This window comes from Homo sapiens, chromosome X (assembly GCF_000001405.40).
Source record: "Homo sapiens chromosome X, GRCh38.p14 Primary Assembly".
Taxonomy (NCBI): domain Eukaryota; kingdom Metazoa; phylum Chordata; class Mammalia; order Primates; family Hominidae; genus Homo; species Homo sapiens.
The window spans coordinates 39,185,767-39,198,070 of NC_000023.11; the positions used below are offsets into that span (position 1 = coordinate 39,185,767).

The 12,304-nt window shown below is 41.9% G+C and overlaps 1 long non-coding RNA gene across 1 annotated transcript in view; it reads right to left on the reverse strand.

Annotated features, from left to right (window-relative positions):
- Positions 1-2,693: 2,693 nt before the first annotated feature.
- Positions 2,694-12,304, reverse strand: part of LOC105373175 (uncharacterized) — a 111,327-nt gene continuing 101,716 nt past the window's right edge. Inside the window, exon 3 of the long non-coding RNA XR_007068217.1 lies at positions 2,694-4,147. This is a non-coding gene — a long non-coding RNA (uncharacterized LOC105373175). The remainder of the gene's footprint in view (positions 4,148-12,304) is intronic.

Consider the following 12,304-nt stretch of genomic DNA (forward strand, 5'->3'; position numbering starts at 1 on the left):
CCCCTACTCGGGGGTGCCTCCCAGTTAGGCTACTCGGGGGTCAGGGACCCACTTGAGGAGGCAGTCTGTCAGTTCTCAGATCTCAAACTCCGTGCTGGGAGAACCACTACTCTCTTCAAAGCTGTCAGACAGGGACATTTAAGTCTGTGGAGGTTTCTGCTGCCTTTTGTTCAGCTATGCCCTGCCCCCAGAGGTGGAGTCTACAGAGGCAGGCAGGCCTCCTTGAGCAGCAGTGGGCTCCACCTGTTTGAGCTTCCTGGCCACTTTGTTTACCTACTCAAGCCTCAGCAATGGTGGGTGCCCCTCCCCCAGCCTTGCTGCCGTCTTGCAGTTCGATCTCAGACTGCTGTGCTAGCAATAAGCGAGGCTCCGTGGGCGTGGGACCCTCCAAGCCAGGCGCAGGATATAATCTCCTGGTGTGCCGTTTCCTAAGACCATTGGAAAAGTGCAGTATTAGGGTGGGAGTGACCCGATTTTCCAGGTGCCATCTGTCACCCCTTCCCTTGGCTAGGAAAGGAAGTTCCCTGACCCCTTGTACTTCCCGGGTGAAGCGATGCCTCGCCCTGCTTTGGCTCATACTCGGTGGGCTGCACCCACTGTCCTGCCCCCACTGTCCGACGAGCCCCAGTGAGATGAACCCGGTACCTCAGTTGGAAATGCAGAAATCACCTGTCTTCTGCGTCGCTCATGCTGGGAGCTGTAGACTGGAGCTGTTCCTATTCGGTCATCTTGGAGCTGCCTCTTCTTTTCTACTGTAAGCATGTAATGCTATAAATTTCCCTCTGAGTCCTGCTATAGTTACATTGTACAAATTTCAATATGTTTTATTTTTATTTTCGTTCATTTGAAACATTTTTCAATTTCCCCTCCTATTTCCTCTTTCACCTATGGATTATTTAGAAGTACCGTGTTAACTTTTCCAGTGTTTGGAGCTTTTCCTCTTATCTTTCTATTATTGATTTCTAGTTTAATTCCATTATGGTTTGAGAACATACATTGGATAATTTCACTTCTTTTAAATTTGTTAAGATTTGTTGTACATTGTTTATCTTAGTGAATATTTCATGTTCACTTGAAAAAAATGTGTGCCCTGCTGTTATTGAGGGGAATATTCTTCTAAATGTCATTTAGGGCCAGGCACGGTGGCTCCCACCTGTAATCCAAACACTTTGAGAGGCTGAGGTGGGCAGATCACTTGAAGTCAGGAGTTCGAGAGTAGCCTGACAAACATGGTGAAACCTCATCTCTGCTAAAAATTCAAAAATTAGCTGGGCATGGTGGTACACACCTGTAATCCCAGCTACTCAGGAGGCTGAGGCAGGAGATTTGCTTGAACCTGGGAGGCAGAGGTTGCAGTGAACTCTGAGATCATGCCACTGCACTCCAGCATGGGAGACAGAGTGAGACTCTGTCTCAAAAAAAAAAAAAAGTCAATTATATCCAGTTGGTTGACATTGTTTAGTTCTTCTACATGCTTGCTGATTTTTTGCCTATCAGTTCTATTACTGAAAGAGAAGTGTTGAAAAATTTCTAACTATAATTGCTTATTTGCCTATTTTTCTTTTTAGTTCTGTCAGTTTTTGCTTTATATAGTAGAAACTCTTCTGTTAGGTGCATGCACATGTGGCACTGTTATGTCTTCTTGGCAAATTGAGCCTTTTTTTGTTATATAATGTCCGTCTTGATTCCTGGTAATTTCCTTTACTCTGAGGTCTCCTTTATCTGTTCATTAATAGAACAACTCCAGCTTTCTTTTGATTAGTGTTTGCATGGTACATCTTTTGCCTCCTTTCACTTTTAACCTACCTATATCATCATATTTGAAATGAGTTTCTCGTAGACAGCATATAGTTGAGTCAAGTTTTTCTTTTATTAATCAATTCTAATCATCTTTCTTTAAATTGGTGTGTTTAGATCACATATATTAATGTAACTACTTATATTTAGATTAATTCTACCATTTTATTATTTGGTTTCTGTTTGCTACCTCTATTTTTGTTTTTCTGTTTCCCCTTTCTTGCCTAATTTTGGGTTATGTGAATATTTTTTAAATTTTTTATTTTTGGAAAAAATTTTGACTTATAGAAAAGTTGCAGTGATAATATAGGAAGTTATTGTATACTCCTCACTTACTTTCCCCTAATGTTAGTATGTTATATTACTATGGTACATTTGTCAAAATTAAGAAAACAATAATTGGTACATTATCATTAACTAAACTCAAGCCTGCTTGGATTTTGCCAATTTTTCTACTCATATCATTTTTTCTATTCTGAGATTCAATCCAGTATACCACATTGTATTCAGTCACAGTGTTATTTGAACATTTTTAATATTCAGTTTTATCTATTGTGATTTTAGCTATATTTCATATAGTTATTTTAGTGGTTTCTCTAGGGATTACAAAATACATATGTGCTTAACTTTTCACCATTAACTTAGAATCAATGTTTTGCTACTCAATTAGAATATAGAAAACATATCACAATTTAGGACTCTTTACCCTCTCCCTTTTGTACTATATTTGTCGTATATATATTACATCTACTTACATTAAAATCTCCAGAAGACAATGTTATAATTTTTGCTTTTGATGACCAAACATATGTTAAATATCTCAAAATCAAAAATAATCTATTACATTTACCGAGATACTGACCATTTTTGTTGCTCTTACTTTATTTCTAATATTCCAAGTTTCCTTCTTTTATTTCTCTTTTTTTTGAAAAACTTATTTTAGCAGTTCTTTTAGAGCAGATCTACTGGTTATAATTCTCTTAGTTTTCTATCATATACAGATATCTTTATTTCACCTTTATTCATTCCTAAAGCTTATTTTTGCTCAATTTGGAATTGCGCTGACAGTTTTTTTTTTTCTTTCAGCACTTTAAAAATGTTGTGCTGCTTCCTTCTGGCCTCTATCATTTGTAATGCGCTAACCATGGTCATTCAAATTGCTGTCCCTCTATAGGGAATGTGTTGTTTTTCTTGGGCAGTTTTCAAGAGTCTTTCTTCATCTTTACTTTTCAACAGTTTATGATGTGTCTAGGTATAGATTACTTTGGGTTTATCTTACTTGTGGTTCAGTCAGTTTCTTGAATATGTAGGTTTATGTCTTTTGCTAAACTTGAGAAATTTTCAGCCATTATTTCTTCAAATAATTTGTCAGCATTTCACTCTTCCCCCTCCTCTCTGGGTCTCTGATGACATTAATGTTAAATCACACAGGTCCCTGATGTCCTATTCATTTTTTTCAGCCTGTTCTCTATTATTCAGATTGTATAGTTTCTATTGATCTATCTCCACATTCACAGACTTTTTGCTCTCTTATTGAGTCCATCCTGTAAGTTTTTAAATTTCAATTATTTTATTTTTCAGTTTTGAAACTTCCATTGGTTCTTCTTCATAGCTTCTATTTCTTTACTGAGACTTTCTGTTTTAGGATTTGTTCCAAGAGTGTTTGCAATTGCTTACTCGAACAATTTTTAAGTATCTGCTTTGAAATATTTATCTGATAATTCCAACAAGTGCTTCAATTCATCATTGGCATCCGTTGATTGTCTTTTCACATGTAAGTTGAAATTTTTGTGGTTCTTTTTATGCTGAGTAATTTGAAGTTGTTTCCTGAATATTTTGAGTATTATACTATAAGACCCTGGGTCTTGATTAAATTTTATGGAGGATATTGATATTTTTGTTTTAGCAGGCACTTGATCTAGTTAGGATAAGGCTGCAAATTACCATCCCCCTTCTTTGGGTTATGGTTCCTATGTCAGTTCAGTTTTCTAAGGCTCTGTAGTGCACTTCAGATTTGTCTTGGGTGTGGACCATCCAGTGGCCTGTCTGGGATCTGGGCAGTGATCTATGTCTTAGTTCAGTTCTCAAAGTCTTTGGTATGCTAATTAGGATCAGAACCATGCATATGCAGTTTGAGGGTGACTGGAAATAAAATTTCGAGAACTTTTTGGTTGGAGAGTGACACAATGAAGTAGGAGAACATTCTAAAGCAAAGATGTGCTGGCATCTCTAGATAAAACAGAGCCATCCTATGGTGTCAGGAATCTCAGAAATGAGGGTTATTTTATCCCCATTACAGATGCTACACAACTGGTCCATAAGCAGTGATATCAGTGGAGGTCTTTGGCAGCTAAATAGAAAAAGAGAAGAATTAATTATCATATAATACAATCAATCCATAAGTCCTTCCATTCATAGATACCAGATTGGGGTTCTCAAACATCTCTCAGACCACTATTCCATGGCTCCTTTTTTCTCTGTAGCCTAGGTAAACTTGAAAATAAGTGTCACCTTACTGTCATCTGAAGATAATTTTGCATGTTTCGATCTGGCTGTTTTTGTTTTCAAGGAAAAAAAAAACACACTGAAGGGATTTTCTTAAGAAATTATCTTAACCATTTAATGTTGAAGCAACCTAGGTCTGAGTTCTTGGTCCTTCCATTCTCAATCACCAATCACAATTTTAGTGATTCAATCTAGTCTCATTACCTTAAACAGAATACATACACTAATATCTCCCACATTTTTACCTCTAGCCCAGTCTTCCCCCTTTGACTCCAGAATTGCACATCCAAATCAAAACTCAACACTTCACTTGAATACATGCTAGGTACATGAAAATTAAAATGTTCCAAATTGCAGTCACCCTGCTTCTGCCCTTGTAATGTAGTCTATTCTTGGCACATCAGCCAGAGTGATCCTTTAAAACCTAAGCTCAAGTAAATCCCTTTGCTCAGAACCCTCCATCTCACTCAGACTGAAGACCCAAGTCTTATAATGGCCTACCGAGACCTTCACAATCTGGCCTCGCTAGTTTCATCTCATACTTCTAGTCTCCCTTGCTCATTTGGTTCTGGCCACATTGGCCTCTTTGCTGTTCCCCTAATACCCCAGAATATTCCTACTTCATGGCCTTTGCACTGGCCATCTTGCTCCTTGGGACTGTCTTTCCAGCTATTCATAAAGCAGGCTCCCTCACCTGTTTTCTTTTTAGTGAGACTTTCCATGACCACCTAACCTAAATCTGCAACCTCGTCTTTGCCTTTCTCTGCATTACTTTTCTCCTACCATATTATCTAACATATTATATAATGTACTTACTCATTAATTCTCTAGAATATGAACTCCATGAGGGCAAGTGTTTCGGTTTTTTTTTCCTCTGTCATGTTTCCTGCTGTATGATCAGGGCCTGACACATACTAGATGCTTGATAAATATATGTTAAAAGAATGAGTAAAAGTATTCCCTGGGCCTGCTTTAACCATAGGCTATAGAAGACAGAGGTTTTCGTGTTTTATTGAGTGCTTCCAAATGTGGACTACAAAAAGTTCCTGAGTATTTTTACAAGAGCAAATTCGATGTCATTGATGGTGTAAGATCTTCTGCAAGAAATCAGTGGCTTAGACACCTGCTGTTACTGCATCCTCCTAGAATTGAGTATCAGAAATGCCAAAAGCGTGAGGTTCTGCACAGATTGACTCTTTGCAAGGTGTTGGAAACAGGTACCAAATTAGAAACTGAGAGCTTTGTACTTGGATTGATTCACAGGTTTCAGCATTTCAACTTCCCAAGTGCTGCTAGTTTCTGAAATATCTTGCAAATGGCCGCCCCAGCTCTTGCTGGTGTGTGCACGTGCACACACAGGCACACTCACGTGCTTTCCTACACCAGGTGCTGCTCCAACAAAACTCAATCCTCATCCCAGCTTAAGTCTGGAGGGCTGAGATGATTGTTTTAAGGAGGCTGTTGCCAGGACAGAATTTTCCAAGCTTCCCAGTTCCCAAGGGAATGAGGTGTGTCTGATGTTGTCCACAGTTCCCTCCCACATCTGACAGCACAGAAATATTTCACTGCATCGTGGTGGTTTAAACAAGCATGACAAGATTGTGATTTCAAACCTGTATAAGTCACAGACACCTGAGCAATTGTGGCTTCTCTGCCATCTTACTGGCAGACAAGGTTAAGTACCTGGTGATTCTTCAGTCTCAGAACTGGACCTCAGCCCTTTCTTCTCATCCACAATATGAGATTGGCCTGTATTTCCTTCTGAAACCTTTCCCTTTTTCACCATGTCCCTGTGTCCCCAGGAATCTAGCCCCAAAAGGCTGCAGAGCTCTGTGAAAGAAACTGTCTGCTGGATTTGTAACACAGAATGGTTATTTGAGGTGCTTTGTTTCTTATGTATCTGTGTTAAATGAGTTGTAGACACTATTGTAGAAGTAGAACCTGAGGAAAATTCGAGCCCTTTTTCTGTAAAACATACCTAAGACTCACTATAGTGAATATAGTTTTATGGATACCAGAGACTACTGGAGCCCCAGGTTAAAAATATCACATCTACGGTGTCAATGACCTATCTTCTAATTGGTTTTATAGATGTATAATTAACATACAACAAAATGTACCCATTTTAAGTGTATAGTTTGATGACAATTGTATACACCCATGCAACCACTACCTCACCAAGATATAGAAAATTTCCATCTCCCTAGAAAATTCCCTGTGCTCCTTTCCAGTCGAAACCTCCTCCTCCCCCCACCAAAACAACCACTATTCTGACCTCTATCACCATAGATAAGTTTTGCCTGTTCTACAACTTCCTGTAGGTGGAATCCTTCTGTGTCTGGCTCCTTTTGTTAAACATGTTTTTGAAATTCACCCACATTGTTGCATGTGTTGATAGTCTATTATTTTATATTGCTCAAAAATATGGATATACCATCATTGGTTTGTACATTCACCTATTGATGGACATTTGAGTTATTTCCAGGCTTGGAATGTTACAAATAATGCTGTTCTGAGAATTCATCTACAAGTCTTTGTACATATGATTTCTCTTGGGCAAACTCCTAGGAGTGGAATGATAAGCATATGTTTAACTTTTTAAGAAACTACCTAACTTTTCCAAAGTTGTTTTTATCATTTTACATTCCCATTAGCAGTGTAGAGGAGTTCCAGTTGGCTTTTGCATGTCAAAAGAAGGTTCTAGGGAAAAGGCAATGATTAGCTCTCAGGACTGACAATACTGGAAAATTTTAGATGTTAGGGGTGAAAGGGGGGAGCTTCCCAGAGCTCCACAAATCACACCACATGAGATATCTTTCAATTGGTCTCCCTGCTTCCTCCAGGAATTAACTTCCTGATATATATGTGCACAACAGGAAGGGAACCAAGGAAAGGAAGTGGCTTTGAGGAGATCAATTAGGGCAGGGCAGGGTGGAAAGAGCACTGGACTTGTAATGAAAGTCCTGCGTTCAAGTCCTAGTTCTTCCATGGCCCAGGTGGTGATTATGACCCTTAGCCTGTGTCTCATTATTCTCATCTGTGAAATAGGGAATATAAATCCCACCCTACCTGATTCACAAGGTTACAGTGAGTCTTAGCCCTGGCAGAGGAGCCATGTGTACAAGGACTTTATTAAGGGGAAGATTGTAATGGCATTGATGGGGCTGATACAACTGCCCAGATTCTCGAAATCCTAGAGTCTTGGAGTCCAGGCAGAGAGGCAGAGTGAAGGTATGGATAGCCCCACTTCCTGGGCAGGGGCAAAGTCTCATATAGAAGAGCATCCTGCCCTGCTCTCAACCTAAAGTTTTGGCTGGGAAGCATTAGCAGGGACAATTGCAAGACATCAGAAATTGGATAGCTCGGTGCCACTCTCTGCTGTGTTACCAACAGACAGAGTAAGTCCTTTGAACTTCCCTGGGCTTAAATTTTCTCACTGATAAAATTAAGATGATGATATCTTCCTTTCCATCCCTCTCCGAAAGTTGAAAGATCTCTGTGAGATAGAAGCATTATTGCAAACTGCTGCACTGTTCGTTCCCATGAACAGTGGATGGATGGCTGGGGCTAGGGCTGGAGCTGCCAAAAAAGCCAGGGCTTTGGAGTCTGACACATCCTGGCTCAAGTCCTACTGAAGCCCCAACCCCTTACTTACCATCTCAAGCCTCAGGTACCCTATATGTAAAATGGGGGTAGTGATACCTCTGAGGCTGGAGGATTAAATGAGTCAAAGAATATGGATATAGTCCTAGGCCCCATGATGGGAAGAGTGAAGCTTCTCAGTAAATGAGATAGTGGTAGGTAAGTAAGAAGGTTAAAATGACATCCACTGGCCATGAGCCTGTGACCTTGACAAATGTTATGTTACTTATCCTCTTACATCTGGTGGGATCACAAGGAAGCACACTGTGAGATGGAGGTGGACATGGAGATGTGAGTGCAAGAGGTTTATTGAGGAGTGCCCTTGGAATCAGCAACAGTGGGTGAGTGAAGAAGGCAGGGCTGGGTCAAGGAAGGAGTTGAGCTACTGCGGTGTGGTCACAAAGGAGACCTCAGTTGAATCTCTGGGACCTCTGGAGCTGGGGTAGCCTCACTGAGTTGTCCAGCATCCAAGTGAGGCAATGAGCCTTTATACCCCTGCATAACCCTGTCACTGAATGTGGGTTGCCCCCAAGAAGGGGTGTGACCTTAAGGATGTTTTCTGAAGGGACAGTCAATGTGAACTGTCCTCATGCCAACACTCCCAGAAGCTGGGGGAATAAGTGCCTCGGTCCTGAAGGGACATCTGCATCCACTAAACCTCCCTGTACCTCAGTTTCCTCATCTATAAAATGTGGATAATCATAGTGCCTACATTACTGGTTTAGATCAGGATTAAAAGAGTTAATTCGTAGAACGTCCTTAAAACAGTGGCTGCTGCATACTATTTGTAGTGCTAGGATTTTAGAAAACATCCAATAAATCTTTTTCAAATGAATAAATAGATGAATGAGCTCTTTCAACCCTGTCCAGAATAAAAAACAAATGTCATGTTTGCTCATTTTGGGGAAAAAAGCCCACTAGCCAGGTGACAAAGCATTTGGCTGGAAAGCAGAGAATTCAATATATTTTAAACCATGGGACTCCTGTGCAGAGGAAATTTAAATCTCCTTTTCAAAACATTTGCTGCACCTGAGGGTCCAGTATTCCCCATGTGCGCATTGCCAGAGTCCTTTACCCTCAGTGTGTTGAGCTGCAGTATGGGGATTTGACAGCTGAAGACAGCTCAGCAGGGTGCAGGAAAGCAGACATTTAATGTGCTTTGACAATACAAAGGGTTATATAAACGACCCAGTTTCTGTAATTTTGCTGTAACTGTCATGAGAATTGCTATAGACAGATACGGAGAAGGCCCTGTTTATGCACTTAAACTTTAAAAGGTTTAACCACTAAACACAGTCTCTTTCTCTTCCCCTCCCCTCCTCACAATCCTGCATTTAAATTGCATGGAGGTGGGGGTGCAGGGCCAGGGGATGGCAGTTGAAATAATGGGTTGCCTTTATCCGCCCAGCTTCTGGATCAGCGCCCCACTTTCTGACTCCTGGGCCAAGCACCTGCCCCTGGCCAGCCTTCTCTGGAAGATTTCCTTCCCTACCTGCTCGCGACAAGATGCTGAGAGGGGGAGGGATGGCAGGAAGTGAAATGCACTGGCTCTGAGCTTACGGCTTTTGCCCAATTTAAATCTGGTTCCCATCCCAGTGTTCAGAGCACGTTGCTGTTTGATTCTTGCCATCACGTCTTAGAAGACTTTGCCCAAGGTGGGGGTGGGGATAGTTCTAAAGCCAGACAGGCAGGAGGCAGGAGGGTTTATGCAGGCAGATACCACAGGCTTCCAAGCTAAGTGCCTTAGCAGGGAGAGCTCCCGGCTGCTGCTGACATTTCTCAGACAGGAGATCAATAAGTGGGCAGAGCTTGAAAAGCAAATCATGCTTCGACCTGCCCTGGGGAACCCTCAGCAACTGTCTTGGTAGAGAAGGTGTCCCAGAGGAGGCCAGGAAAGACAGGGGGACGCAGAGAGCCTTGATATTCTGAGATGGGGGCAGGGAAATCGAGACTGCCCAAGGAGATGAAAGGGGCAGATGCTGCCATCCTCCCTACTCCCATCCTCCCTCCACAGTTCTTGCTGAGTGTGTTAAGACCCCTGACTTCTGCCTCCTAGGTAAAACCAGACATTTGGAGGTGGATCTGCAGCTGATGTAGCATTTACAGTCCAAATGAGCTTGGCTTGAGCATGGAAAGCTGCTCCAGCTGAGAGACCCTCTATCTGTGGTTGAGCCCCTCCTACTCTCTGTCCAACCAGCACCCAGGAGGAGTTTAAATATTTCTCCACACTCCAATCACATGGTCAAGAAAATTTTCTAAAGCAGATAGTCATGCACTCACACACACAAAGTGGACCCCACAGAACTGGAAGTAGGTACAAAACTTGGTTCTGATCTGGTAAACCTGGTCCACTGCAATAATTTAAACTCTCTTTTGGAAATTCAGTCTCCTTGACTTTAAATTGTCCCTGTCTTAGTACGTTTCGTGTTGCTATAAAGGAATACCTACCACTGGGTAATTTATAAAGACAAAAAGTTTTTATTTGGCTCACAATTCCGATGTCTGGAAAAGTTCAAGATCAGGTATCTGGTGAGAGCCTCAAGCTGCCTCCACTCATGGTGGAAGGCAAAGGGGAGCTGATGGGTTCAGAGATCACATGGTGAAACAGAAAGCAAGAGAGTGAGGAAGGAGACGCTGAGCTCTTTTAACAAACAGCTCTCAAGGGAATTAATAGTTAGAACTCACTCACTCTTTCCAGAATGGCACCAAGCCATTCACGAGGGATCCACCCCCATCCAACACCTCCCATTAGGCGCCACCTCCAACACTGAGGATCAAGTTTCAGCATGAGGTTTGAAGGGGACAAATATTCAAACCAGAGCAGTCTCTCTCTCCAGTTTGCTTTCCTTTACTTGATCCTCTCCAAGATGGTACCTGGATATGGGGTGGGAACATGCTACATCCTTCTGGTGGTGGAGGAAGGGGATCTATCAGTGTTATCATTCCAATTCCTGGGCGCTTCATGTCTCCACCACAACAGATGTCCCACAACGCTGACAACTGCTGAAGTCTGTGGTTAGTGAACCTGTGGTTTCCTCTTTGCTGACTCAGTCCGTACTCAGCCCTTGCTGCTATTGAATGTCCCCTGAGACATGGTCATGACCTCTATTCAATCTCCCATTCAGGTGGCCCAATCCACTCACTTGACTCTAGAATTTTTTCCTTTTTTGAGCTCTTCTGCCTGTGTCTTGCCAACATCTCTGTTCCCCTAGGGGCCTTTGAGCATTTCTGGCATCTTTTGTGTGCCAAATGGAGCCCAGGATAGCTCAGGAATGCTAACTCGACTTGCTCTCTGCCTCACCAGTAGCTACTTGAGGTTACTGCGGGTACACAGCGCTAGGCTGGCTCCTCCTGGAGTCCCAGACAGAGAGTAAAATGACTGCACTTCTGCCATTGGCTTTTCCTTCACTCCAATTAGACAACTCCCCTCTCTGAAACTTTCATCCAGACAGAGCTAGAAGGAGCAGGATTTTCTGGTCTAGTTGAAGCTTCACTCATGCCATATATACTGTCTTCCTGATCCAAGCTTCCTCATGGTTTAGCCTTCATGGCAGAGGCTGGATGGAGAAAGAAATGGTTTCTCTTCTCAGTTTGGGTTCTTTTGAAAGCAAAGCATGACACAAAGTCCTGGGTGAAGGTAGCTTATTTCAAAGGTAATCCCAGTGAAGAAGTAAAGTGAATGAATGGAGAAAAAAGAAGGGATTAAGACACAGTAGGAACAAATATCAATATAATGGAGGGCAACAGGGACTGATTTCCCAGGAAAGCATATAGAATGCCTTGTAGAATTGTCCACTGGAAGGGCAGGAGGTTGGGGCATTTATTCACTAGCCACTGTCTGACCCTGGTGAGGATTGTCCCTGAGGATGTTAACTTTCTCCCATTTCTGAGCTACACAAGCACATGACCTGGGCAAACTTTCACATAAGTAATGAAGGTTCAGGGGCAGAAAGAAGACAGACGCTTGGCTTAAGGTAAGTCTGCCCATTGCAGCTGAGGCTGAAACTGGAGGTGGGCCAAGGGGGTGATGAAGGTCTCTAGAAGTGTCTGATATACTTCCCCAAAGGAAATTTAAATGAGGAGGAATTATTTAGACCATATTACTGTATGCCTTAAATATTTGGTCTAATCTCCTTGTTTTAATGGGAGAAAACTGAGGCTCTACAAAGTCCTGATTCACCCAACATCAAAATAGTCAAACCCTGAGCCATATCTACAACTTGAGTGCTGGAGATTCAGGTCAGAGCTCTTTTTACTGTATCATACAAATCCATTCAGCCAACAATAGAATCTTTATTAACTATCCATGATGTTCATAGGATTGTGAAGTATAACGATAGTTCCTGCTTTCAGGGAAGTT